The sequence below is a fragment of the Homo sapiens genome, chromosome 19, assembly GCF_000001405.40.
Source record: "Homo sapiens chromosome 19, GRCh38.p14 Primary Assembly".
NCBI classification, from domain to species: Eukaryota; Metazoa; Chordata; class Mammalia; order Primates; family Hominidae; genus Homo; species Homo sapiens.
In genome coordinates, this window is record NC_000019.10 from 589,881 (window position 1) to 617,190 (window position 27,310).

A 27,310-nucleotide genomic window follows, 5' to 3' on the forward strand; every position below is an offset into this window, starting at 1 on the left:
CCCTCGGGCTCCGGCCGGCGGCGGCGGCGGCGGCTCCGCTCCGCACTGCCCGGCGCCGCCTCGCCATGGACGCGCGCGGGGGCGGCGGGCGGCCCGGGGAGAGCCCGGGCGCGACCCCCGCGCCGGGGCCGCCGCCGCCGCCGCCGCCCGCGCCCCCCCAACAGCAGCCGCCGCCGCCGCCGCCGCCCGCGCCCCCCCCGGGCCCCGGGCCCGCGCCCCCCCAGCACCCGCCCCGGGCCGAGGCGTTGCCCCCGGAGGCGGCGGATGAGGGCGGCCCGCGGGGCCGGCTCCGCAGCCGCGACAGCTCGTGCGGCCGCCCCGGCACCCCGGGCGCGGCGAGCACGGCCAAGGGCAGCCCGAACGGCGAGTGCGGGCGCGGCGAGCCGCAGTGCAGCCCCGCGGGGCCCGAGGGCCCGGCGCGGGGGCCCAAGGTGTCGTTCTCGTGCCGCGGGGCGGCCTCGGGGCCCGCGCCGGGGCCGGGGCCGGCGGAGGAGGCGGGCAGCGAGGAGGCGGGCCCGGCGGGGGAGCCGCGCGGCAGCCAGGCCAGCTTCATGCAGCGCCAGTTCGGCGCGCTCCTGCAGCCGGGCGTCAACAAGTTCTCGCTGCGGATGTTCGGCAGCCAGAAGGCCGTGGAGCGCGAGCAGGAGCGCGTCAAGTCGGCGGGGGCCTGGATCATCCACCCGTACAGCGACTTCAGGTACCGCCTCCGGGAGGGCCGGTCGGCGCGAGGGGGCCCGGGGAGCCGGGCGCGCGGGGAGCCGTCCTTGGAGCGCCTGGGGAGGGCGGGGCGGCGCGCCGGGCCGGTGACCTCGGGGCTCCTCGGTGACCTCGGGCGTGTCCGGGACCCGCCCCGGAGTGACCCCGGCGCGCGAGGCTCCGCCTCTGGGGGGGCTCCCCGGGTGACCGCGGAGCGCCCCCCTCCCACGCACCCCGACATCCTCCGCCCTGCGGCGCGGCGGGTGGGGTGGGCCGCAGGGCCAGGGTCTGAGCGCAGAGGGGCAGAGAGGACGAATAGAGGGGAACGTGGGCCCCAGAGAGGCGGCGGAGCGGGAGGGAGGAGGAACGAAGGGCGCCCGGGAAGGACGCGCCCCAGGGAGGCCGGGGGAGAGGGGGTTAAGCGGCTCCCACGGCGTCCACCCGCGCCCCGCCTGCGAGGAGGCGCGCCCGGGGCCGCGGGCCTGGAAAGCGTGCGGGTCCCCAGGCTGTGTCCCCGGGAGCCGCTCCACCCGAGCCGCGGGCGGTGCGCGCATGCGGCGGTGGGTGTGTAGACGCCGCTGTGGATCCAGCCGGCTAATGCGTGGAAGGCTCGGAGCAGGGCCGGCGCGGGGCCACCGCCACTGATGTTTGCGGTCGTGGTTCCTGGGCTGTGCGTGCTGTGGCCGGAGAGCGAGACCGGCGCGTGTCCCCGTGGGCTGTGTGTGAACAGGGGCCCGTGACCGCGGCGGGGTTCCCGGGGCGCGAGCCTGTGGCCGGAGAGGTGTGTCTCCAGGAGTGTGTTTGCGTGGTGGTCGCGGGCGTGTGCGCCTCCGGTGGGTTTATTTTGGTGGGACGTGTGGTTTGTGTGTGTTGGGACCAGGTGGCGGGCGTGCGCGTGTACGCCCGGGGCCGGTGTGCACCGGTGGGCAGTAGTGTGAGCCGCAGGCAGGTCTCACACACGCGACCATGGAGGGATGCGTGTGTGTTTGTGTATCCACGAGTGGGGTGTGAGGTGGGGTGTGGAGGGTGCAGGTGGAGGGTGTAGGTGGGGCCCGCCGGGCTAGCGAGGCCGGGCGCGCGGGACGGGCGCGGTTTCAGCACCACGGACAGCGCGCCGGACCTGGGAAGCCTGCGGTTTTCCCGCCTGTCTCTCCTCCTCCAGGCCTGGGCGCCCCAGGACAGCCCCCACGGACCCTGGACCCCCGGAACTGGGCAGGGAGGCTGTGGGGTTCTCTCTTCCCCTGGATTCTCTGCACCCCTAGTGCTTGACTGGAGAAACTGAGGCCTGGGGCACATGCGTCCTGGACAGAGCCTGGAGGAAGGCCCTGGAATCCTCCTCCCACCCCAGGCCTTCCTGAGAGGTGAATACAGCTTTGACCAGAAGCCTGGATTTCGAGACAGGCCAGGGGTGGGAGGAGCCCCGAAATCCCCAGAGGGGCTGTGTCCGGCCCCTCCCACCCTGCCTCTGTGCCCCACCGGGAGAGCTTGGTCAGCATCTGGGCTCTGGCCTGCGAAATGTGGACAGTGAGCGGGAAGGACTGGACTTCCAGGGCTGCTGGTCGGCCTGGCCCCACTTCCAGTCGGGCAGTGGCACCCCCTGACCGGAGAGGGACGCGGTGGAGAGGGAGCTGTAGAACGTGCCCACTCCCCTCCGTCCCCTCCAGCATGACCTTCGACAGAGATGGGTGCACCGCAGCGTGGGGGCTGGCAGGTGGAGGCCCACACCAGCCACTCCCTCCCCTGGGCAGCTCCAGCGACCCCCTGGCTGCAGAGGGGCGGTCGGTGGCCTGGGGGGCAGGTGGGCAGATGGCTGATCCCGGGGCTTGGGGGGAAGGCCGGTGGTAGGAGTGAAGCCCTCTCATCCTTCCACCCTCCTTGGGCGTGGTCGCCTGGAGGCCTGGGCAGGCTGTGGCCCCGCTCTGTGCTCTGAGGCATAGAGGGCTCAGAGGCCCCTGTGTGGACCAAGTGCAGCCCCACCCCGGCAGATGAGTGTTGAAGTGGAACTGAGCAGGCAGGGAATGGGGTTAGCGGGGCCTGTCTTCGGGACTAGGGGAGTCACGGCAGTCAGATTTTAAAAAAGGATTTCGATGTTGCCAAGCTGGGTGCACGGGGCCCCTAGGACCCTCCCCAGGCTTGGGACCTGTGCCAGTGTGGAATCAGTGTGGAAAAAGACCCCCAAGAATATCTCAAAAGCTCCCTAAGCAGGCGGCCGGACCCTGCTGTGGAGGGTGTTTTGGGGCAGCCCACAGCAAGCGAAGGGGCCTCTACGTTTGCAGCTGACTCAGGAGCCTGGCCCCAACTGGCTTCGGGCCCAAGGCCTCCTGTGCCTGGCTGGGTGTCTTGGGTCCTCGCTGGGCCCCTCTGCCTCAGTTTCCCCAATTGCACGGTGGGGATGGTATGAGGGAGAAGGATGGGGTCTTTCACAGCCTTGCCAGTGTCTCAGCCTCACGTCTCACACTCTCTTCACCTCCCCTTCCTGCTGAGAGAGTGCTGTGCTCCTTGCCCAGCCTGTGCCCCCCAGGCACGCCCTCACCCCGGTTCTTCCTCGCTGCCCAGCTGTCTCCGCCACGCCCAAGTCCACCCTGCTCCCGTGCTCGGAAGTGGCCTCTTTCACGCCCCACGTCCCAGTCCCAGTATACAGCAGGTGCCACATATTTGCTGAATTTTCTGAGGGGCAGAGCATGGGTCCTGGGCTGACGTGGGTCCAGATTTCGGCTCTCAGGCCTGGGCGGCTGGCCCCTTTGGAAGTGCAGTTGGTGCCAGGGTGCAGCGGCTCACGCCTGAGATCCCAGCACTTTGGGAGGCTGAGGCGGGCGGATCACCTGAGGTCAGGAGTTCGAGAGCAGCCTGGCCAACATGGTGAGATGATCCCGTCTCTACTAAAAATGCAAAAATTAGCTGGGCATCGTGACGAGCGCCTGTAATCCCAGCTACTCGGGAGGCTGAGGCAGGAGAATCACTTGAATCCAGGAGGCAGAGGTTGCAGTGAGCCGAGATCGCGCTGCTGCACTCCAGCCTGGCTGACAGAGTGGGACTTGGTCTCAAAAAAAAAGAAAAGGAAGAAGAAGTGCAGTTGGTCTATTGCTGAAGTCTCTGGGGCTGTGGGTGGCTCTACACCCCGGCCTGACGTCTGAAAGTCCCCAGAGGCATGCTGGGCGCTTCCCTGGGGTGCTGGTGGAAGAGCAAGTTCAAGGACCCAAGTTCAAGGTTTTGGGTTCCAGAGGCTCAAGTTCCCTTCCTTGTAGGTGATCACGGTTGGTGCCTGAATTGGAACAGGCGTGAAAACCAAGAAGGAAGGGGTTTGGCCTTATGCAACCCCCAGGGCTTCGGCAGGGTCTTCTGTGCCTCCCAGAGCAAAATTAGGTCAAAAATAAGTATAGTTCATTCCTACTCCCTTCACCCCAGCCGCCGCTGATTCTAAAGGCCACACAGGTCCACTTGGGAAAGCCTGAGTCGTGCAAAGGAGGGTGTCTCCGCAGGAGAGGGGCAGGGGCTGGAGGTCTCTGCACGAGAAGGGCTGGGGCTGGAGGGTGTCTCCGCAGGAGAGGGGCTGGGGCTGGAGGGGACACGAAGGCCCAGGGAGGGGCGGTCTGAGGAGGTCGCGTTCTCCGAAGCTTGCTGTCATCCACCCTCCCTGCCCCCGGTGTCACCGAGGGGGCTGGGCAGACCTGGCGGGGTGGAGACCTGGGCAGATCCGGGGTTTGTGCCCTGGGAGCTCTGGGGGGCACAGGGCAGGTGTCGGGTGGAGAGAGGCTGGCGGCTTCCTGACTGCCCTCGGTCCAGTTCCAGGGCTAAGTGCCCTGTGGCCGCCCTGCCGTCTCCTGCTGCTGCTGACTTGCAGGTCTGTGTTTCTGAATTGTCTTCAGCTGGGGAGGCCCCGTGTGAGGGGAGACAGACGAGATGCTCCCCAAAGCCAGGATCTGTTATGTCCCCTGGGGTCCCCGAGAGGACTGGTCGGGGAGGAGCTGCTCCAAGACCCCACCAGGACAGGCGGCCCCTGGGCCCCGCCTCAGATGGCTGAGTGGGTCAGCGGGAGATCAGCCTGGGGGTGCAGCTCTGCAAATCCGCAGTGATGAATCCCAGCATTAGGGCGTGGGAATAAACCCCCCATTATCCTGGGGGGATGGCCCCGGGGGCAGGGCGAGGCGAGGGTTTGTCTGGCTCTGGTCACGGCAGGAAGGCCCAGCGTGTGCAGGATGGTGGGGTGTGCATGGACCCATATCCCAGGTGGCGGTGGCCTGCCCTCTGGTCTGCGTGGAGGGGTCAGGGGTCGGGGTGGCCAAGGCCTCCCCGCTCTCTTCAGGGCCTTCCCTATGTTCCCTGCTCGAAAACGGACATCTTTGTCCAGGCACTGTGGCTCATGCCTGTAATGCCAGTACTTTGGGAGGCGGAGGCGGGAGGATCGCTTGAGCCCAGGAGTTCGAGACCAGCCTGGGCAACATAGCAAGACCCCCATCTCTACAAAAAGTTAAAAAATTAGCCAGGCGTGGTGGCGTGCACCTGTAGTCCCAGCTACTCTGGAGGCTGAGGCGGGAGGATCACCTGAGCCCAGGAGGTTGAGGCTGCAGTGAGCTATGATCGTGCCACTGCACTCCGGCCCGGGAAACAGAGTGAGACCCTGTCTCAAAAAAATAAAAAAAACCTAAAAACCCACATATTCAAGTCACCTTCATCAGCCCCCCACTCACTTGGGCCGGGCCCTGCCTCACCCCCCACCCCACGGTTCAGCCTCGCACCCTGTGCGCTGGCCGCCTCTCTCCTGCCAGATGCCTCCCCGTCCCCCTTTCTGGCCTCCCGGCTGTCAGCATGGGCCTCTCCAGACATCGGTCCTTCTTTCCCTGTCACCTCTACCTCCTCCCTGGCTCCAGCCCTCCCCAGTCATGTCCCCTGGTCCCGAGGCCGCCCACCGGCCTTGAAGGGAACCCGGAGCATCAACCTCCGCACCTGCTGCCCCTCTTCAGCCACTGCCCTCCCCTCACCATCTCATCCACCCACACGCCACCTCCTCCAAGGAGCCCTCCCACCTGCCTGGGGCTGACAGGCCCATCCCATGTGTCTGTCTTGGGGCTGGGCCTGTGTGGTCATCGTGTGCCCCGGCGCCCGGCGAGAGTTCGGTGAACATCTGCCCCGTCGGGATCACCCGGGAACCCGAGATCTCCCCCACCCGTAGCAGCTCCCTTTCTTAATCCTGGGCACCTGCCACGGATCTGGCCATGACTCCACAGCTGAGAGTGCCGTCTCCTAATCCCCCGGCCCGAGGCTCTCCCTTAATCACCGACCTCCGGCCCCTAATCCTCTCCCGGATTGTCCCCATCTGTAAATCCTGGACGGCCTCCGGCCTGAGGCTGGGCTCCTGCGGGGAGGGCCTGGCTGCCCTCGCCCGTTCCCCAACCCGGGACTCAGGCTCCAGCAGGGGCTGAAGACCCCCTGGGCAGGCCCTCCCCTGGGATCCAAGGGGCTGAGGGTCCTGGGCCTTCTGTTGCCAGGAGACCTGGTGTCCTCGTGGGGTTTGGGAGCCGGGTCGGCGGCCTCCTCCCCCAAGCTTCATCCAGCCCTGGAGAGACGGGGACCTGCGTCGGCTTTGGGAACTTCAGGGGAAGAACCCTGAGCTCGGGGCAGGAGAATGACATGGTCTGTCTGGGTTCCCATCCCACTGTTTCACTTATGGCTGGAGGAGCCTCAGTTTCCGTGTCAGAGCCGAGAGAGAGGCTGGGCGGCTGTTGGAGGAGGGCTGAGCTCACATCGGTGTCAGGTGCCGGGGGCCCCACTGAAGCCACTCTGGAGTGAGAGGGGGTCCGAGGCTTCTTCCGGTCCCCCAGGTGTGAGAGCTGAGGCCGGAAGGTTTCCCCAGGGACCCAGCCTCATCCCGGCCTCCGGAGCTGGTCTCCCTCCCTGCCTGCGAGGGCCAAGCTGGACAAAGTGGCAGGACCCCCGCGTTTCCGAGGAAGGGGCCCTCGTAGAGGCCTCACTGTTACCTGTCGGGGATGGGTTTTAAATACAGGATTTAATGATGGTCACTGATGTTTCTGTGACAGCTGAGGGGGGCCTGTCCCTGCTCAGCACTGGGGTTGGACAAGGAGGGCACAGGGTGCCCGGGGAGTGCTGGGGCCCGCCTGGGTCCCTATGGTGGCCGGATGGGGAAAGGGCTGCCGGACGCGGCTGCACAGAGTGTGAGGGGGAGTGGGGTTGGGCTTTGGGCCTTCCCCTGACCCCAGGTCCCCTCTCTGGGGTCCTGTCTTCTGGAGCTGCCTCCCCCTCCCCAGGGCGAGAGGCAGGAGAGGGTCTCCCAAGGTCACTCAGTCTAGTGTTGGGCAAGGAGAGGGTTGGGGTGGAGAGGGTTGGGGTGCACCGGCAGAGACAGTGACGCCCTGCAGGGCTCTGGGGTCCCCTCTGCCCCAGGCCTCGGTTTCCCCTTGGTAGGGGACATGCGTGGGCGCCCTTCTTCCTTCTGACCTCTGGCTGGTGACGACGAGGGTTGCGGCCCCAAGCCCTGCTTGGAGGCATTGTGGTTGGAACGGGCAGGCCCAGCCCCACAAGGGACCCTCAGGGTGGCCACCCCACCTGTCCCTTCTCCTAGGCCCCTCTGCTCTGACCCCCGTAATCCCCAGGAATACTGCCCTGCTGGGCAAGATGGGCTGAGGAGTCCTTTCTGGGGACACAGGAGCAGAAGGCTCAAGGGAGGTGGTTTCCAGACAGTGTGGGCCGTGGATAAGAGGACAGTCCTGGGGTCTCATCCTGCAGTCCCACTTCCATCAGAGGGGAGGTGTGGTACCTGCCCCCAGCTCACCCCAAGAATAAAGGGGGAGAATGTCTGTTAATCATCACCTGGAAAGGAGGCCTTCATGTTATATGGCCGTTTAAAACCAGGTACCCCTTGGCGGTTTCTAGGTCCTCCTGGTGGTTTCTAGGTCTCCTTGGCGGTTTCTAGGTCCCCCTTGACAGTTTCTAGGTCTCCTTGGTGGTTTCTAGGTCTTCCTGGTGGTTTGTAGATCTCCTTGGCGGTTTCTAGGTCCTCCTGGTGGTTTCTAGGTCCCCCTTGGTGGTTTCTAGGTCCTCCTCGTGGTTTCTAGGTCTCCTTGGCGGTTTCTAGGTCCCCCTTGACAGTTTCTAGGTCTCCTTGGTGGTTTCTAGGTCTTCCTGGTGGTTTCTAGGTCCTCCTGGTGGTTTCTAGGTCCTCCTGGTGGTTTCTAGGTCCCCCTTGGTGGTTTCTAGGCCCTCCTGGTGGTTTCTAGGTCTCCTTGGCAGTTTCTAGGTCCTCCTGGTGGTTTCTAGGTCTCCTTGGCGGTTTCTAGGTCTCCTTGGCAGTTTCTAGGTCCCCCTTGGTGGTCTCTGGAGCCCCCTGGGAGTTTCTCCTCGCCCCTCGTGGGGGAGGTTTCTAGGCCCTGTGGCCTTCTCAACTGCTCTTTCCTGCTGGTTTTGTCCCAAGACTGGTGCTCGAAGGTGGGAGGCAGGTCTCAATCCAGAGGGTGAGGCTGGGGCTGAGCTCCACGGTGAGCCCCCTCGGGGCTGAGGGGCAGGGGGCCAGCGGCAGGCGGGTGGCATCCCCTCAGCCCACTCGGTGCTGGGGCCCTGGGGGTCTCGTTGCTGAGCAGATGTGTCGGACTGGGGGCCTGAGCCCTCATGTCCTGTCTAGACTCAGGGAAAGGAAGGCCTTAAATTTCTAGTCCTTTTAGTCATTTGATTTCACCCTTCAAGCTTGTGAGGGGACCCCTCCCCACCCCGAGATCAAGTCAGCCTTTTTTTTTTTTGAGACAGAGTCTCACTCTGTCACCCAGGCTGGAGTGCAATGGTGCAGTTTTGGCTCACTGCAGCCTCGACTTCATGGGCTCGAGCAATCCTCCTACCTCAGCCTCCCAAGTAGCTGGGTCCACAGGTGCGCACCACCACGCTGGCTAATTTTTGTATTTTTTGTAGAGACGGGATCTCACTATCTTGCCCAGGCTGGTCCTGAACTCCTGAGCTTCTGTGATCCTTTAGTCTTGGCCTCCCAAGGTGCTGGCATTAGAAGCATGAGCCCCTGCACCCACCCTTCCCTTCTTTTTTGAGACGGAGTCTCGCTCTGTCGCCCAGGCTGGAGTGCGATGGCGCGATCTCGGCTCACTGCAAGCTCCGCCTCCCGGGTTCATGCCGTTCTCCTGCCTCAGCCTCCCGAGTAGCTGGGCCTACAGGCGCCCGCCACCTCACACAAAAAAATAATACATTTTTGTATTTTTAGTAGAGACGGGGTTTCACCGTGTTGGCCAGGATGGTCTCGATCTCTTGACCTTGTAATCTGCCCGCCTCAGCCTCCTTAAGCCCTGGAATTACAGGCGTGAGCCACCGTGCCCAGCCTGAGTCAGCCCTTCTCTAGGTTTTATCCCCAGCCTGGGTGGTTCTTGGGGGGTGTCCCGAAGGCTCAGCCCCTCCCCATCCCGAGGCGGTGGATGCTTGGAAGAAGAGACTGAGGTTCTCAGGGGCTGCAGGAACTTGTCCAAGGTCACTGTGCCAGCAGGCGGGTGCCAGCCCAGGTCTGGCTGATGCCACCACGATGTGAGTCGCTGGGTCCCTTCCAGCGTTTGGCTCTTGCAGACCGAGCTGCTGTGAACATTTTGGTACAAATGGCTTTTTAATTTTTTTCTCTTCCTTTTGGACCGTTTCCTCGGGATCATTTCCCCGAAGTGGAGCGTCTGGGTCACCCCGCAGACGTGGTGTTAACAGCTTTTCCCTCGAGGAGCCGTCCAGAAGCAAGGAGCCGACTTTCGGCGGCTCCTGAAACAAAGGTCCCGGCGGCCACGCCAGCGATGAGCTCCCAGGTTTTTCTTTATTGGTGTTAACTTTGGGGAGTCCCTCCAGTCCCTCAGCATCTCCTCCGAAAGGATGTGGGGACCCCGGCCATGATAGGGAGGGGCTGGGCCTGGGGTGGGGATAAGGCCTCAAGAATTGGCCGGGCGCGGTGGCTCACGCCTGTAATCCCAGCACTTTAGGAGGCCAAGGCGGGCGGATCACGAGGTCAGGAGTTCGAGACCATCCTGGCTAACATGGTGAAACCCCGTCTCTACTAAAAATACAAAAAAAAAAAAAAATTATCTGGGCGTGGTGGCGGGCGCCTATAGTCCCAGCTACTCGGGAGGGTGAGGCAAGAGAATGGTGTGAACCCTGGAGGCGGAGCTTGCAGTGAGCCGAGATTGTGCCATCGCACTCCAGCCTGGGCGACAGAGTGAGACTCTGTCTCAAAAAAGAAAACCTCAAGAACTAAGAAGGCTGAGTTGGTACAGGGATGGGAAGGGGTCCCGTGTGTGTGTGTGTGTGTGTGTGTGTGTGTGTGTGTGTGTGTGTGTGTGTCAGAGGGTCTCATGTTACCCAGGCTGGTCTTGAACTCCTGGGCTCAAGCGATCCTCCTACCTCAGCCTCCCAAAATGTTGGAATTATAGGCATGAGCCAGTGTGTTTGGCCTAGCCCCCAGTGTTAATGGCAAAATCCTATGAATCTTTGTGCTGGAAATTCAAGACCCTCCCTTGTCTGAGTCAGGCACACGCAGGCCATGTGGGCTCAGACCCCAGTCTGGAACCTCCCCTTCAGCAAGAGCCCTTGGCCCCAGAGCCCAGAGGTTTTTGTTTTGTTGTGTTTTGTTCTTTGAGACAGAGTCTCGCTCTGTTGCCCCGGCTGGAATGCAGTGGCACGATCTCGGCTCACTGCAACCTCCACCTCCCGGGTTCAAACAATTCACCTGCTTCAGCGTCCCGAGTAGCTGGTACTACAGGCGCCCGCCACCACGCCCGGCTAATTTTTGTATTATTATTTTTTGAGATGGGGTCTCACTCTGTTGCCAGGCTGGAGTGCCATGGCGTGATCTCAGCTCACTGCAACCTCCGCCTCACTGGTTCAAGCGATTCTCCTGCCTCAGCCTCCCGAGTAGCTGGGACTACAGGCACGTGCCATCATGCCCAGCCAATTTTTTTTTTTGTATTTTTTGTAGAGCTGGGGTTTCACTCTGTTGGCCAGGCTGGTCCTGATCTCTTGACCTCATGATGCGACCACCTTTGCCTCCCAGAGTGCTGGGATTACAGACGTGAGCCACCACACCCGGCCTAATTTCTGTATTTTTAGTAGAGACGGGGTTTCACCATATTGGCCAGGCTGGTCTCAAACCCCTGACCTCAAGTGATCCGCCTGCCTTGGCCTCCCAAAGTGCTGGGAACACAGGCGTGAGCCACCGCACCCAGCAGGCTTTTTTCTTTTATCAGTTTTCCAATTAGCCATTGTAAAACCTATCAATCAGTGTCATTAAGCCCATTCTTGCTGTTGTACAACCGTCACCACTATCCATAGTCCATACCTTTCTCATTCCCCCGGACAGAAACCGCACCCCGCACATGCCACTTCTCACCCCTCCAACCCCCGGCCCCCGGCACCCATGCATCCCCTTCCTGTCTCTGGATTGGCCTGTCCTGGACATTTCGTAGAAATGGGCTCACACGGCCGGGCGCAGTGGCTCAGGCCGGTAATCCCCACACTTTGCGAGGCCTAGGCAGAAGGATCATGAGGTCAGGGTTTCGAGACCAGCCTGACCAACATGGTGAAACCCTGTCTCTACTAAAAATACAAAAATGAGCCAGGAGTGGTGGCTCATGCCTGTAATCCCAGCTACTCAGGAGGCTGAGGCAGGAGAATCGCTTGAACTTGGGAGGCGGAGGTGGCAGTGAGCCGAGATGGTGCCACTGCACTCCAGCCTGGGCGACAGGGTGAGACTCCGTCTCGGAAAAAAAAAGAAATGGCTTCTCTCACTGAACGTGACGTCCTCAAGGGGCATCTGCGCCGTGGCCTGGGTCAGAGCCTCACTCCTTTTCGTGGCTGAGTCGTGTTCCATGGTGGACGGGTCGCGCCGTGTTTGTCCCTCCGTTTGGTGATGGGCACCTGGGCTGCCTCTGCCTTTTTGCTACTGTGGATCGAGCTGGTGTGAACACAGCGGAGTGGTCGTCGTCCGCAGTCGAGCTGGTGTGAACACGGTGGGGTGGTTGTCGTCCGCAATCAAGCTGGTGTGAACACGGCGGGGTGCTCGTCCGTCCTTGTTTTCATTTCTTTGGGTATAATCTCGGGGCAGGGAGAGGCTGGTAATTTTATGTCTTTTTAAGGAGCCACCCGTGTTTGCTCCGAGTCGTTTTGATTTTCATTTTCTCGATAGCGAAAGGGTTGGGCATCTGTCCAGTAGCCATTTGCTGACCCTCTATGACCTCCTGTGTGGACGCGGCACTCCCAGCACCGTGTCTGGCCCGCCATACGCAGGCCCTGAACCGACAGGACCTTTTCTGCCAGAGCTTCCCAGGGAGAGTTTTGGGATCCACCTTGGGGACTTGGACTCTGGCCGGGTGTATCTGGGAGTGGAAACGCCCTCTGGTCTCTTGTCCACGGGTATTTATCATACGGAACGTCCGAATGGTGCCAAGTCCGGCTCGGCCGTTCCTCCCACCCTCTCGGCCTCCCCTGTGGCGCCAGCCCCGTCTCTGCTTGGCTTCCCTCCCTCCTGTGTGGACGCCCCACTTCCTCCCCTCTCCTCCTGCGTGGACGCCCCACTCCCTCCTCTCTCCTCCTGCGTGGACGCCCCACTTCCTCCTCTCCTGCGTGGACGCCCCACTCCCTCCTCTCTCCTCCTGCGTGGACGCCCCACTCCCTCCTCTCTCCTCCTGCGTGGACGCCCCACTCCCTCCTCTCTCCTCCTGCGTGGACGCCCCACTCCCTCCTCTCTCCTCCTGCGTGGACGCCCCACTCCCTCCTCTCTCCTCCTGCGTGGACGCCCCACTTCCTCCTCTCCTGCGTGGACGCCCCACTCCCTCCTCTCTCCTCCTGCGTGGACGCCCCACTTCCTCCTCTCTCCTCCTGCGTGGACGCCCCACTTCCTCTGGAAATGCAGCCGGTGCTGCCCTGGTTCAGTCTTCCTGTGGCCCCTGTGGAGGCTCCCGCTTCTCAGTAAGGCATCTGGGGCCCTCACCTCCCGGCGTGAGCTGAGCACGGTTCATTTCCCACCCTGGCTTCCCGCCTTCGCTCTCCCTGTGCGCGCCGCCCTGCCTCGCCCTGCTGCTTCCCAGTGCCCCTCTGCACCCCGGCTCCTCTCTGCTCCTCTGCTGTCCTGTCCTGTCTATTTTTTTAACGCCAACCTTGTGCCAGGCACATTGTCCCTCTCTGGTCATGTGAAGCACTTAATCTATTTTGAGCCACCTCTTGGGCCTTGTGAGGTCTCCTGCATCTTCAAGGACACGGGGTCAAAGTTGGGCCTGAGGAAGGGACCTGGGCTAGGGCAGCGCAGTGGGCGTTGGGCTCCCTCGGGGCTGGGTGGCCTTCCTGGGGTGGGAGCCTGGTCCCGAGGGAGGAGTGCCCAGGGCTTGTCCTGCAGGCGCCTGGGGGGAAGGCACCGGCCTGAGCTGTGGGCACCCTCGTCCCCCAGGGAGGAATGCCCGGGGCTGGTCCTGCAGGCGCCTGGGGGGAAGGCACCGGCCTGAGGTGTGGGCACCCTCGCCCCCCAGGGAGGAATGCCCGGGGCTGGTCCCATAGGTGCCTGGGGGAAGGCACCAGCTTGAGGTGTGGGTGCCCCTCGTCCCACAGGGAAGAGGGCCCGGGGCTGGTCCCATAGGTGCCTGGGGGAATGCACCAGCCTGAGCTGTGGGCACCCTCGCCCCCCAGGGAGGAATGCCCGGGGCTGGTCCCATAGGTGCCTGGGGGGAAGGCACCAGCCTGAGGTGTGGGCACCCTCGCCCCCCAGGGAGGAATGCCCGGGGCTGGTCCCATAGGTGCCTGGGGGAAGGCACCAGCCTGAGGTGTGGGTGCCCCTCGTCCCACAGGGAAGAGGGCCCGGGGCTGGTCCCGCAGGCTCCTCGGAGGAGGCACTGGCTCGAGGTGTGGGCGCCCCTCGTCCCCCAAGGAAGAGTGCCCGGGGCTGGTCCCGCAGGTGCCCCGGGGAGGCACCGGCCTGAGGTGTGGGCACCCTCGCCCCCAGGTTCTACTGGGACTTCACCATGCTGCTGTTCATGGTGGGAAACCTCATCATCATCCCAGTGGGCATCACCTTCTTCAAGGATGAGACCACTGCCCCGTGGATCGTGTTCAACGTGGTCTCGGACACCTTCTTCCTCATGGACCTGGTGTTGAACTTCCGCACCGGCATTGTGATCGAGGACAACACGGAGATCATCCTGGACCCCGAGAAGATCAAGAAGAAGTATCTGCGCACGTGGTTCGTGGTGGACTTCGTGTCCTCCATCCCCGTGGACTACATCTTCCTTATCGTGGAGAAGGGCATTGACTCCGAGGTCTACAAGACGGCACGCGCCCTGCGCATCGTGCGCTTCACCAAGATCCTCAGCCTCCTGCGGCTGCTGCGCCTCTCACGCCTGATCCGCTACATCCATCAGTGGGAGGAGGTGAGGTGGGGCGGGGGCGGGGCCAAGGCAGCAGGGGCGGGGCTATAATGGTGCATGGGCGGGGCCAAGGCAGCAGGGGCGGGGCTATAATGGTGCATGGGTGGGGCCAAGGCAGCAGGGGTGGGGCTATGAGAGATCTGGGTGGGGTCAAGGCCCCAGGGGTGGGGCTATGGGAGATCTGGGTGGGGTCAAGGCCCCAGGGATGGGGCTATGAGAGATCTGAGTGGGGTCAAGGCCCCAGGGATGGGGCTATGAGAGATCTGGGTGGGGTCAAGGCCCCAGGGGTGGGGCTATGGGAGATCTGGGTGGGGTCAAGGCCCCAGGGATGGGGCTATGAGAGATCTGGGTGGGGTCAAGGCCCCAGGGGTGGGGCTATGAGGGTGCAGGGGTGGAGCTACAATGGTGCAGTGGTAGAGCCAAGACAGCAGGGGTGGGGCTATCAGGTTGCTGAGCAGGGTCGAGGCAGCAGGGGCAGGGCTATGATGCTGCTGGGGTGGAGTCAAGCAGCAGGGGTGGGGCCGTGATATCTGGGTGGGGTCAAGGAGCAGGGGCAGGGCTGTGAGGGTGCTGGGCGGGGTCAAGGCATCAGGGGCGGGGCTATGAGGGTTGTGCTGAGCGGGGTCAGACATCCGAGTGGAGATATGAGGGTTGTGCTGGGCGGGGTCAGGCAGCAAGGGCGGGACTATGAGGGTTGTGCTGGGCGGGGTCAGGCAGCAGGGGCGGGGCAATGCGGGTTTTGCTGGGGCAGGGCCAGACATCAGGGGTGGGGATATGAGGGTTGTGCTGGGGCGGTGTCAGACATCAGGGGTGGGGAGCTGTGGATTTGGGGGGTGTCCTAGGGCGGGGGCTGTGGATTTGGGGGGGTCCTGCAGTGAAGGCTGTAGAGGTGGGCGGGGTCCTGGGGTGGGGGCTGTGGGTTTGGAGGGCGGGGGTCCCGGGGCAGGGCTGCAGGGTGGGGCGGGGGTCCTGTGCGGGGCCTTGGATTTGGGGGAGGGGGCCAGGAGCTCCCGCAGTGGGGGCGCACGGGGCTGGGGCTCTGAAGGTGGGGGCCGGGGGTCAGCGGGTAGGGTGGGCTCACGGCGCCTTCCTGCAGATCTTCCACATGACCTATGACCTGGCCAGCGCGGTGATGAGGATCTGCAATCTCATCAGCATGATGCTGCTGCTCTGCCACTGGGACGGCTGCCTGCAGTTCCTGGTGCCTATGCTGCAGGACTTCCCGCGCAACTGCTGGGTGTCCATCAATGGCATGGTGGTGAGCGCCGCGGGCCCTGACGGAGGGGGAGACGCAGGCTCCCATACAGAGGGGGGACCCAGGCCCCCTTATCCCGCTTACAGAGGGTTGAACCCAAGCCTTTCAGAGGTGGGGACCCAGGCGCCCCCTTATGGAGGGGAGGACTCGGGCCCTTACAGAGGTGGGGACCCAGGCGCCCCCTTATGGAGGGGAGGACTCGGGCCCTTTCAGAGGCGGGGACCCAGGCGCCCCCTTATGGAGGGGAGGACTCGGGCCCTTACAGAGGTGGGGACCCAGGCGCCCCCTTATGGAGGGGAGGACTCGGGCCCTTTCAGAGGTGGGGACCCAGGCGCCCCCTTATGGAGGGGAGGACTCGGGCCCTTTCAGAGGTGGGGACCCAGGCGCCCCCTTATGGAGGGGAGGACTCGGGCCCTTACAGAGGTGGGGACCCAGGCGCCCCCTTATGGAGGGGAGGACTCGGGCCCTTACAGAGGTGGGGACCCAGGCGCCCCCTTATGGAGGGGAGGACTCGGGCCCTTACAGAGGTGGGGACCCAGGCGCCCCCTTATGGAGGGAAGGACTCGGGCCCTTACAGAGGCGGGGACCCAGGCCGCCTTACAGAGGGAGAGACACAGGCCCTTCAGGGGTGGGGACAAGACCCCCTTACACGGGAGGACTCAGGCCTCTTTACAGAGGGGGACCCAGGACTGCAGCCCCGGCACTGGCCCCTTAATGTCCCTGGGGGTCTGAAACAGCCACTTGGAACCTTTCAGGCCTGGGATCATCCGTGGAGAGAAGCTGAGTGTGGTTATGATGAGTCCTGTCACCCAGACATCTGCTTAGCGCGTTTTCCAATGGATTTCCCTTTTAATTAACCCACATTAATTATTATTATTTTATTTACTTATTTTTTTTTGAGACTGAGTTTCACTCTGTCGCCCAGGCTGGAGTGCAGTGGCACGATCTCGGCTTACCACAAACCCCACCTCCCAGGGTTCAAGGGATTCTCTCGCCTCAGCCTCCCGAGTAGCTGGGACTACAGGCGCCCGCCACCACACCTGGATAATTTTCGTACTTTTAGTAGAGACGGGGTCTCGCCATGTTGGTCAGGCTGGTCTCGAACTCCTGACCTCAGGTGATCCGCCTGCCTCGGCCTCCCAAAGTGTTGGGATTACAGGCGTGAGCCACCGCGCCCGGCCTGGTTGGATCCCTTGAGCCCAGAAGTTGAGGCTGCAGTGAGCCATGATTGCACCACTGCACTCCAGCCTGGGTCACAGAGCAAGACCTGATCTCTAACAACTAAAGAAAAATTTACAACATGGCCCTGAATTGGGAAAGTGGTATCACCATGCCAAAGAAATAATAAATGGGCCAGGCATGGCTGCTCATGCCTGTAATCCCAGCACTTTGGGAGGCTGAGGCAGGCGGATCACCTGAGGTCAGGAGTTTGAGACCAGCCTGACCAACATGCTGAAACCCCGTCTCTACTAAAAATAAAAAATTAGCCAGGCGTGGTGGCGCGCACCTGTAATTCCAGCTACTGTAGAGGCTGAGGCAGGAGAATCGCTTGAACCCGGGAGCAGAGGTTGCAGCGAGCTGAGATCACACCATTGCACTCCAGCCTGGGCAACAGAGCCAGACTTTGTCTCAAAAAAAATAAATAAAAATAAGTAAAAGCAAAAGGAAGAGGCCGGGCGCGGTGGCTCACGCCTGTAATCCCAGCACTTTGGGAGGCCGAGGTGGGGCTGATCACCTGAGGTCAGGAGTTTGAGACCAGCCTGACCAACATGGAGAAACCCCGTCTCTACTAAAAATACAAAACTAGCTTGGCGTGGTGGCGCATGCCTGTAATCCCAGCTACTTGAGAGGCCAAGGCAGGAGAATCGCTTGAACCCGGGAGCGGAGGCTGCCGTGAGCCAAGATCGTGCCACTGCACTCCAGCCTGGGCGACAAGAGCGAAACTCCGTCAAAAAAGAAGGAATAATAAATGAAGTTAGGTCCCAGATACTCCTTGCTTCCTAGCTGAGATGTGCTGACTGTTAAGAAGGGTTAGTTATGGGAGCCCTCGGCCGCTACAGTCAGGTTAGTGGCCAGTGAGCCTTTGTCCCTGCCTGGGGAGTGCTGTGCCCCAGCGTCCAGCCACATATGGGACTTGGGATGTGTTTGGTTTGGACACAGAGCAGGTGGGCATTGATGGGGTCAGGAGCTACAGAGGGAAGACCCGCCAGTGCCCCTCCCCAGAGCCTGGCACAGCTGCCCAGGCTGAGGCAGCCCATTGTCTGGCTGCCACCCGCACATGCGGTCCCATTTCCTGAACAGAGCCCCGCGGCTCCCCTTTCCCGGCCGGGTCAGCTGAGGACTTGGTGCGGCAGGACCTCCTGGGCCGGCCTGGTGTCTCTGCCCGCCCTGCCCCTCTGCTCTGGCCCAGATGCTCCCTGGAACTTTTGCCCCCTCTTGACCTCACAGATGCTCTGATCTCAGAGGCTGCAAAAGGCGGGACCCAGACTCTCGCCCTTGGGGTCTCAGTTTCCCCAGGAGTGAAGCGGGCAGGTAGAATCAGCCCTGGCCCTCCTGCCAACTCACTGTGACAAGTGTGCAAACCATGTCATCTACCTGGGTCTCCATTTCTCTTGGTTACCTCTGAACATGGGGAGCTCACCACCTCCAGTGCTTGGCAGAGGGTGGGCGCTGGGCCCTTGAGGACCGAGGGCTCCTGGGGCGTGAGCACCTGCCCACCACCGCCCCTCCTGCTGGCCTTGCAGAACCACTCGTGGAGTGAACTGTACTCCTTCGCACTCTTCAAGGCCATGAGCCACATGCTGTGCATCGGGTACGGCCGGCAGGCGCCCGAGAGCATGACGGACATCTGGCTGACCATGCTCAGCATGATTGTGGGTGCCACCTGCTACGCCATGTTCATCGGCCACGCCACTGCCCTCATCCAGTCGCTGGACTCCTCGCGGCGCCAGTACCAGGAGAAGGTCTGAGGGAGGCGGGCCCCGGCCTGGGTTCTGATGGGGGAGGCGGGCCTGGATCTGGGGTCTGAGAGAGAGTCAGGCCAGGCCCTGGGGTCTGATGGAGGGAGGCAGGCCCGGTCCTGGGGTCTGAGGCTGGAGGGAGGCCTTGCCCTGGGGTCTGAGGGCGGAGGTAGTCCTTGTCCCGGGGTCTGAGGGGAGGGGCGGGCCCGGCCCCGGGGTCTGAGGGGAGAGGCAGTCTCAGCCCTTCACTCAGCTTCAAGTGGCGCGCTCAGGGCAGAGACCGCGTGATGGGGAGCAGGGGACCCTGGGGGTCTGTGGCTGTGATTAGGAGGAGAAACGGCCGGTGGTGAGAGGTTCTCTGACCCTGTGACAGGGAGGGAGGTCCAGAGCCTGGAGATGGACGTGGGGCGGGGGCTGGGGAGGGGATGCAGGCTGGGCAGGAAGGGGTGAGTTGGGATCAGGGCAGGACAGGGTCAGTCTTTGGACATCGGGAAGCCCCCGGGCTGAAGGGGCATTGCCAGGAGGCTGGGCCCACCTGGGGGTCTCTAGGCCGGCTCAGGATGGGGCTGGGTTAGGGAAGGGCCTGGCGGGGTCTGAGAGGCCTGGGGTTGCTTCAGGACACGCCGGTGGCCGGCAGTCAGGGCCAGGCTTCAGGGAGAGCAAGGCTGCCCCACTGCTCAGATGCGGCCTCTGGCCTGCAGCGTCCATTGGGTTAATCCTAGGCTTGGCAGTGGAGGGGACACGGGGGAGCTGGGAGGGGTGGAGGGAGATTAGGATTGGCCCCATTGGCAGCCCCTGGAGTTGGGCCTCATGCACCACTCTGTGCCTCAGTTTCCCCATGTTAGGCGGCTGGCTGGTCCTGGCTGGGAGCCAAGTGCCCCCCTCTCCCGCGCCCCGAGCAGTGGCTGGCTGGGTCAGCTGGGCCCCGTGCCAGGCGCCCTGCTGTCCGGAAGCCACGGGCCTCACACCCAAACATAAGCTGGTGCCACCACCCGCCCGCCGTCACGGGTTCCGCTGAGCTCAGGGCAGCTGCGGCCGGGCGGGGCTGGGGCGGAAGTGAGGCTGGAGCTGCCGGGGGGCACCGTCCTGGGGACAGCAGGGCCTGGCACCCCCGCCCAGCACCCACGCTCCCTTCCCTGCTCAGGAGGGGCTGACCCGATGGTTTCTGGAAAGATCATCAGGGAAGGGCCAGAGCCCCCGGGAAGGGGGTCCTGTGTGTCAGGGTACCTGGGGCCTCTCCTCGTAGAGTCAGGTGCCCACCCATTCCTCAGGGATAGGGTTGCTAGATAAAGTTCAGGGCACCCGGCCTGGTGCAGTGGCTCCTGCCTGTAATCCCGGCACTCTGGGAGGCCGAGACAGGCCGATCGCCTGAGGTCAGGAGTTTAAGACCAGCCTGAGCAACACGGCGAGACCTCATCGCTACAAAAAATTAAAAAATTAGCAGGGCAGGGTGGTGCACACCTGTAATCCCCACTACTCAGGAGGCCGAGGTGGGAGGATCCCTTGAGCCCAGGAGTTCAAGACCAGCCTGTGCAATATGGCGAGACCTCATCTCCACAAAAAATAAAAGAATCAGCCAGGCGTGGTGGCGCACACCTGCAGTCCCTGCTACTCAGGAGGCTGAGGTGGGAGGATTGCTTGAGCCCATAGGCGGAGGCTGCAGTGAGCTGTGATTGCACCACTGCACTCCAGCGTGGGCCACAGAGCGAGACAGTGTCTCAGAAAAAAAAAATGGAATTTATCATTGAAACGAATTCAACTTTGATTTAAATAGAAGCATGTTTATTTGCTCTTGTTGAATCTGGCCGCCCCTGTGTGTGGCGGAGGCCTGTCTCCCCGCTGTGGGCGGGGGCTTTGTCTGACCCAGCCCTGACCCCCCACAGTACAAGCAGGTGTGAAGGCCTATCTCCCCGCCACAGGCCGGGGGGCTGTCTGACCCACAAGCAGGTGCCCGTGTGCCCGCTGCAGGCTGGGGGCGGTGTCTGACCCAGCCTCGCCTCCCCACAGTACAAGCAGGTGCCCCTGTGCCCGCTGCAGGCCGGGGGCGGTGTCTGACCCAGCCTCGCCTCCTCCCCACAGTACAAGCAGGTGGAGCAGTACATGTCCTTCCACAAGCTGCCAGCTGACTTCCGCCAGAAGATCCACGACTACTATGAGCACCGTTACCAGGGCAAGATGTTTGACGAGGACAGCATCCTGGGCGAGCTCAACGGGCCCCTGCGGGAGGTGAGGCGGGCGCCGGGCGGGCGGGAGGCAGCCTCCGGTACAGGGCCGGCCTCCCTCTCCTGGAGCCCAGGAGCCGGTCCCTGAGGGAGGCGAGGTGCCTAGGCTGCAGCAGGAGGGACTCGAGCTAGACCTGCGTACACACCCTCCCCTCCCCGCCCCGTGAGCCTCTGCACCCCCAGGACCCCCGCCACCCCCGCCTTGCTTCCCGCTGCCCCCTTAGCAGAACTGCCTGGGTCTGTGCCTGACAGGGCGGGGCAGAAGCAGGGCAGGGGGTGGGGAGGGAGGAGCCGCAGAGGCCCCGCTGAGCACCAGGTCCTGGGGGCACTGAGGCTGATTGGAGCGGGTTTAACTCCCAGCTCTGTTCCGGTAGCCTGAGTGACCCTGGGCAAGTTTCCCAGGGTTGCGGGAACAAATACCCACAGGCTGAGTGGCTTGAACAGCGGAGATTCGGCCTCCCACCGTCCTGGAGGCCGGAAGCCCAACATCAAGGCGTGGGCCGGGCCGTGCTACCCCCCCGGAGCCCCTGGGGAGGATCCTTCCTGCCTCTTCCGGCGTCTGGGGCTCCAGGCGCCCTTGGCTTGCAGATTGATCTCCCTGATCTCTGCCTCCATCTGCTCACAGCCTTCTCCCCTGTGTGTCTCTGTCTCTTCTTGTAAATTCATCCGTCGTTGGATCAGGGCCCACCCGGTTCCTCGTGGCCTCGCCTTAACTGGGCCATGTCTGCAGAGACCCTATTTCCACATAAGGTCCTATTCACAGGAACCGGGGGTCAGGATGTCAGCCTGTCTTTCTGGGAGATGTAGTTCAACCCACAACACACATCAAACAGTTATTGAGCGCCGACTGCGTGCCCTGCCGTGTGCTTGAAGGTCCCACCCTCAGGAAGCGGGGCCTAGGGATGGCGGCCGTGATCACGCAGGCAGCAGAGAGCAGCTCTGGGAAGCGGGGAGGGACGAGGACGGGGAGGCGACATCAGCAAGGCCGTGTGTGAGCCAGGCAGGGTGTCCCCGGTGTAGCACCTGGCTCGGGCAGAGGCCCCGAGGAGGGGCTGGAGGAGCTGGGCGAGGAGGCGGGCAGGACGGGCCTGACACTAGGGACCTCGGGCCCCGGGAATGCCTCTGGGGGGGCGTGTACACCCGTTGCTCCCAGGAGGCACACACTGCGGTTCGCTTCGCCAAGAATGTTTAATTGCATTTGATGACTACGGTTTCCATTCATTCATTTGTAGAGATATAACACTCAGACCACAAAATGCATAAAATGCGGTGGCTTTTAGTATTAACAGAGTGCTGCACCCGATACCACAGCCTCACTCCAGAACATTCTCATGGGCCCAAAAGGAGACCTGGGGTGTTAGTCACCAGCTCACTCCCCGTCCCCAGCCCCTGGCAACCCACGCTACTTAGTCATTATTTAGGTGTTTAGGAGTTGCAAAGTCAAATCTTTAAACCCACATATGGCCAGGCGTGGTGGCTCACGCCTGTAATCCCAGCACTTTCAGAGGCCGAGACGGGCAGATCACCTGAGGTCAGGAGTTCGAGACCAGCCTGGCCAACATGGTGAAGCCCCGTCTCCACTAAAAATACAAAATTAGCCGGGCGTGGTGGTGGGCGCCTGTAATCCCAGCTACTCTGGAGGCTGAGACAGGAGAATCGCTTGAACCCAGGAGGCGGCGGTTGCAGTGAGCCGAGATTGTGCCACTGCACTCCAGCCTGGACAACAGAGCGAGACTCCGTCTCAAAAAAAAAAAAAGTACCAAAAAGTGCCCCAGGTCATAAGGGCACAGCTCGATAGCTGGTCCCTAAAGGGAACGTGGTGTAACCACCACACAGAACGAAGCTGGAACGTTCCTGCCGTCCTTAGAAGCTGCCTTTGCTAAGGGGAATTGCCCTGACTTCCCACACCATTGATTCATCTCCAGACCCTTGGTTTTCATGTTGATTTTTCAAAAATCACCTGATAGTCTGACCGAATGTAGCTTTCCACTGGTGTGTGTGTGTGTGTGTGTGTGTGTGTGTGTGTGAGAGAGAGATGGAGTCTCGCTCTGTCACCCGGGCTCCAGTGCAGTTGTGTGATCTTGGTTCACTGTAACCTCCTCCTCCCGGGTTCAAGAGACTCGTGCCTCAGCCTCCCGAGTAGCTGGGATTACAGGCACCCGCCACCACACCCAGCTAATTTTTTGTATTTTTAGTAGAGATGGGGTTTCACCATGTTGGCCAGGCTGGTCTCGAACTCCTGACATCAGGCGATCCACCCACCTTGGCCTCCCAGAGTGCTGGGATTACAGGTGTGAGCCACCACGCCCGGCCTTATTTTTCCCCCATTTTCTTTTTTTTTTTTTTTGAGTCAGGGTCTTGTTCTGCGCTCAGGCTGGAGGGCAGTGGTGTGGGGATCACGGCTCACTGCAGCCTCGACTTCCTGCACCACCACGCCTGGCTGTTTTTTTTTTTTCCGGTAGAGACGGGGGTCTTACCGTGTTGCCCAGGCTGGTCTAGAACTCCTGGGCTCAAGCGATCCTCCCGCCTCGGCCTCCGCAAATGCTGAGATCACACGCGTGAGCCCCCGCACCCGGCCTCCTTTCCACCGCTCTTGTCTACAGCCGCCCCTCCTGGTCCGATTGTATTGGCAGATGTCGCCAATACGGTGTCAAACGGCGAAGGGGCACTGAGCGTTTTTTCTTTCTCCCGTCCTTGGCGGCAGCAGCTCGGTTCCGGCTACGGGGCTGAGCCCGTCTCTCAGACGAGGAAACTGGGGTCCGAGAGGTGAGCCGGTCCCAGAGGCAGGGCGAGGGGGAAGCGGGAGTGGGGTCCGCAGCGGACCCAGCCCTGCCTCCCCCCTGCAGGAGATCGTCAACTTCAACTGCCGGAAGCTGGTGGCCTCCATGCCGCTGTTCGCCAACGCCGACCCCAACTTCGTCACGGCCATGCTGACCAAGCTCAAGTTCGAGGTCTTCCAGCCGGGTGACTACATCATCCGCGAAGGCACCATCGGGAAGAAGATGTACTTCATCCAGCACGGCGTGGTCAGCGTGCTCACTAAGGGCAACAAGGAGATGAAGCTGTCCGATGGCTCCTACTTCGGGGGTGAGCTTGAGGGGGGCGCGCCTGGAGGGGGAGGGGGCACGCGACCCCCGCGGTGTGCAGAGCCAGGGGGCCGGGGCCGGGGCCGGGGCCGGGGATGGGGATGGGGATGGGGATGGGGCCGGGGATGGGGATGGGGATGGGGATGGGGCCGGGGATGGGGATGGGGATGGGGCCGGGGATGGGGATGGGGCCGGGGATGGGGCCGGGGATGGGGCCGGGGATGGGGCCGGGGCCGGCACCAGGGAGAGCCTGGGTGGGAAGCGCCCACGCTGGCCAAGGTGCAGAGGCCGGGCCGTGTGCCTGGGCGGGGAGGGCCGCGGCGCCCGCCTCGTCCAGCAACCCCCCCCTGCGCGCCACGTGCAGAGATCTGCCTGCTCACCCGGGGCCGCCGCACGGCGAGCGTGCGGGCTGACACCTACTGCCGCCTCTATTCGCTGAGCGTGGACAACTTCAACGAGGTGCTGGAGGAGTACCCCATGATGCGGCGCGCCTTCGAGACGGTGGCCATCGACCGCCTGGACCGCATCGGTGAGCGGGCCGGGGGCGTGGCCGGGGCGGGTGCCCTGGCGGGGGAGGGGCGTGGCCAAGGCATCAGGAGAGTGGCTTGGACAGTGGCAGGGGGAAGGGCGTGGCTGTGGCATCAGGGGCACGGTTGGGGCAGAGACGTGGCCAAGGCATCAGGAGTGTGGCCATGGCAGCAGGGGCGTGGCTGGGGCAGGGGCAGCGGCTGGCCGCTCCTAGGACCCCTTTGGGTCTAGAGGCTGATTTTCTGACCTATTGTCCTACTTCAGCCAGAGGCAGCCTGTTTCCCAAGGGAGGGAATGCACAGGGTGTTTGCGGTTGTGCCGAATGCTCGGTGAGCACCTGCTGTGTGCTGGGGGTGCAGGGGACAGACCCGGGGGCCCACTCAGACTCCCAGGGAGGCTTATGGACTGGTGATGAAATCACACACGACTGGGCTGTGTGCCAGCAGGGCAGGTGGGGCCGGTGGGCTTCCCTGAGTTGGGAATGCAGAGTGGAGACCAGGGTAAGGGATGCCATGTGGAAACGGGGAGGAAGATGTGTTCGTGGAGTGGACACAGCACATCCCAAGGCCCTGAGGTGGAAAAGAGGCCTAGAGTCCAGAGAGCCAGGGAGGCCTGGAGGAGGTTGGGGAAGAAGGGGAGGCCAGACACACAGGGCCCAGTGGGCGGCAGGGAGAGTTTAGACTAAATCAGGAGCATCAGGGAGCCATGGAGGGTTCTAGGTGGGCGGAGGACCTGGTCAGATTGTATCCGCCAAGGCGGGCCGTGTCCAGGAGGGAGACGGTGACCTGGCCTCTCAGGGGGGCAGTCTCTGGGGCAGGGAGGGGCAGAGCCCTGATGACTGGATGTAGGCGCCAGAGAGATGGCGGCTCATGCTGCTGTTCGTGGGAATGGGAATGAAGACCATGGCTGAAACGCAGGACAGGTGCGACGGAGTGGTGTCAGGGAGCTCCCTGGTGTACAGTAGGAAGCTCTCCACAACTTGCTCTATACAGTGAGTATGCAACCCGTTCCTGAGTATCAGGTGCTTAGGTTATAACTTCTGTATACAGCAGGTGCTCAGCACAGGCTGTGTACAGGCAGGTGTTTTCGGTATGCCTGTGGCACACTGGAGGCAGTCATTACATAATCAGCGTATACAGGTGGTACACATGCATACTTGGTGCACAGTGATACCTGCTCCATGTACACAGCAGGCATTAAATACCTGTTTACTGCCAGGCGCGGTGGCTCACGCCTGTAGTCCCAGCACTTTCGGAGGCCAAGGTGGGTGGATCACGAGGTCAGGAGATTGAGACCATCCTGGCTAACATGGTGAAACCCCGTCTCTACTAAAAAAAAAATACAAAAAATTAGCCGGGTGTGGTGGCGGGCGCCTGTAGTCCCAGCTACTCGGGAGGATGAGGCAGGAGAATGGTGTGAACCCGGGAGGTGGACCTTGCAGTGGGCCGAGATCGCGCCACTGCACTCCAGCCCGGGCGACAGAGCAAGACTCCGTCTCAGAAACAAAGCAAAACAAAAGCCCTGCTTTCTGTATGCAGGTGCTTCATGCATGCTGGCTGTGCATAGCAGGTGCTCAGCCTGTATATGGCAGGTACTCAATATCCATACTATAGGCCAGAGATGCTACATATGTGCTTATTGTATACAGTAGGTGGTAAATGCATGCTTGCTCTACACGGCAAGCACTGTGTGCGCACCCGCGGTGCAGAGTAGGTGCTCGGTGCCCGCTGTACGCAGCAGGCGCTCCCTGTGCACACGCTAACGCCCCCTCTCCCGCAGGCAAGAAGAATTCCATCCTCCTGCACAAGGTGCAGCATGACCTCAACTCGGGCGTATTCAACAACCAGGAGAACGCCATCATCCAGGAGATCGTCAAGTACGACCGCGAGATGGTGCAGCAGGCCGAGCTGGGTCAGCGCGTGGGCCTCTTCCCGCCGCCGCCGCCGCCGCCGCAGGTCACCTCGGCCATCGCCACGCTGCAGCAGGCGGCGGCCATGAGCTTCTGCCCGCAGGTGGCGCGGCCGCTCGTGGGGCCGCTGGCGCTCGGCTCGCCGCGCCTCGTGCGCCGCCCGCCCCCGGGGCCCGCACCTGCCGCCGCCTCACCCGGGCCCCCGCCCCCCGCCAGCCCCCCGGGCGCGCCCGCCAGCCCCCGGGCACCGCGGACCTCGCCCTACGGCGGCCTGCCCGCCGCCCCCCTTGCTGGGCCCGCCCTGCCCGCGCGCCGCCTGAGCCGCGCGTCGCGCCCACTGTCCGCCTCGCAGCCCTCGCTGCCTCACGGCGCCCCCGGCCCCGCGGCCTCCACACGCCCGGCCAGCAGCTCCACACCGCGCTTGGGGCCCACGCCCGCTGCCCGGGCCGCCGCGCCCAGCCCGGACCGCAGGGACTCGGCCTCACCCGGCGCCGCCGGCGGCCTGGACCCCCAGGACTCCGCGCGCTCGCGCCTCTCGTCCAACTTGTGACCCTCGCCGACCGCCCCGCGGGCCCAGGCGGGCCGGGGGCGGGGCCGTCATCCAGACCAAAGCCATGCCATTGCGCTGCCCCGGCCGCCAGTCCGCCCAGAAGCCATAGACGAGACGTAGGTAGCCGTAGTTGGACGGACGGGCAGGGCCGGCGGGGCAGCCCCCTCCGCGCCCCCGGCCGTCCCCCCTCATCGCCCCGCGCCCACCCCCATCGCCCCTGCCCCCGGCGGCGGCCTCGCGTGCGAGGGGGCTCCCTTCACCTCGGTGCCTCAGTTCCCCCAGCTGTAAGACAGGGACGGGGCGGCCCAGTGGCTGAGAGGAGCCGGCTGTGGAGCCCCGCCCGCCCCCCACCCTCTAGGTGGCCCCCGTCCGAGGAGGATCGTTTTCTAAGTGCAATACTTGGCCCGCCGGCTTCCCGCTGCCCCCATCGCGCTCACGCAATAACCGGCCCGGCCCCCGTCCGCGCGCGTCCCCCGGTGACCTCGGGGAGCAGCACCCCGCCTCCCTCCAGCACTGGCACCGAGAGGCAGGCCTGGCTGCGCAGGGCGCGGGGGGGAGGCTGGGGTCCCGCCGCCGTGATGAATGTACTGACGAGCCGAGGCAGCAGTGCCCCCACCGTGGCCCCCCACGCCCCATTAACCCCCACACCCCCATTCCGCGCAATAAACGACAGCATTGGCGCCAAGCCTGGCCGCGTGTGATTGCCCGAGACCCGC

General features: G+C 63.2%; 1 protein-coding gene, 1 long non-coding RNA gene and 1 pseudogene across 2 annotated transcripts, besides 6 other annotated features; 1 reads left to right on the plus strand and 2 right to left on the minus strand.

The window, feature by feature from the left end:
• HCN2 (hyperpolarization activated cyclic nucleotide gated potassium and sodium channel 2) lies at positions 1–27,279 on the plus strand. The gene is made up of 8 exons (NM_001194.4): positions 1–697; positions 13,664–14,087; positions 15,181–15,342; positions 18,084–18,302; positions 20,379–20,525; positions 23,368–23,608; positions 23,972–24,136; positions 25,915–27,279. The coding sequence occupies exons 1-8, from the start codon at positions 66–68 to the stop codon at positions 26,592–26,594; spliced, it is 2,670 nt and encodes an 889-aa protein (NP_001185.3). The 5' UTR covers positions 1–65; the 3' UTR covers positions 26,595–27,279.
• LOC100420586 (Rho GTPase activating protein 33 pseudogene) lies at positions 423–1,735 on the minus strand (annotated as a pseudogene).
• Positions 13,908–14,108: a silencer, noted in NCBI's record as "peak3211 fragment used in MPRA reporter construct". NCBI's record gives its function as "represses an SCP1 promoter by STARR-seq MPRAs in K562 erythroleukemia cells {active_cell/tissue: K562}" and the evidence as "EXISTENCE:reporter gene assay evidence [ECO:0000049][PMID:32103011]".
• Positions 14,433–14,512: a silencer, noted in NCBI's record as "silent region_9609". NCBI's record gives its function as "represses an Ori minimal core promoter by ATAC-STARR-seq in GM12878 lymphoblastoid cells {active_cell/tissue: GM12878}" and the evidence as "EXISTENCE:reporter gene assay evidence [ECO:0000049][PMID:35858748]".
• Positions 14,593–14,642: a silencer, noted in NCBI's record as "silent region_9610". NCBI's record gives its function as "represses an Ori minimal core promoter by ATAC-STARR-seq in GM12878 lymphoblastoid cells {active_cell/tissue: GM12878}" and the evidence as "EXISTENCE:reporter gene assay evidence [ECO:0000049][PMID:35858748]".
• Positions 15,469–15,538: an enhancer, noted in NCBI's record as "active region_13565". NCBI's record gives its function as "activates an Ori minimal core promoter by ATAC-STARR-seq in GM12878 lymphoblastoid cells {active_cell/tissue: GM12878}" and the evidence as "EXISTENCE:reporter gene assay evidence [ECO:0000049][PMID:35858748]".
• Positions 20,060–23,593, minus strand: LOC107987266 (uncharacterized). The gene is made up of 2 exons (XR_001753828.2): positions 22,999–23,593; positions 20,060–21,274 (listed from the first exon to the last, which is right to left on the minus strand). It is a non-coding gene; the product is annotated as an uncharacterized LOC107987266 (long non-coding RNA).
• Positions 21,030–21,339: an enhancer, noted in NCBI's record as "active region_13566". NCBI's record gives its function as "activates an Ori minimal core promoter by ATAC-STARR-seq in GM12878 lymphoblastoid cells {active_cell/tissue: GM12878}" and the evidence as "EXISTENCE:reporter gene assay evidence [ECO:0000049][PMID:35858748]".
• Positions 23,459–23,640: a silencer, noted in NCBI's record as "fragment chr19:613339-613520 (GRCh37/hg19 assembly coordinates)". NCBI's record gives its function as "represses an EF-1alpha promoter that drives an FKBP-Casp9 reporter gene in an ReSE screen in K562 erythroleukemia cells {active_cell/tissue: K562}" and the evidence as "EXISTENCE:reporter gene assay evidence [ECO:0000049][PMID:32094911]".

Bases quoted from the DNA above. Each gene is read 5' to 3' on its own strand.
- HCN2 (NM_001194.4), top strand. From the start codon at position 66: ATGGACGCGCGCGGGGGCGGCGGGCGGCCCGGGGAGAGCCCGGGCGCG. The intron at 14,088-15,180 runs GTGAGGTGGGGC...GCCTTCCTGCAG, and splicing joins ACATCCATCAGTGGGAGGAG to ATCTTCCACATGACCTATGA. The intron at 23,609-23,971 runs GTGAGCTTGAGG...CGCCACGTGCAG, and splicing joins CGATGGCTCCTACTTCGGGG to AGATCTGCCTGCTCACCCGG.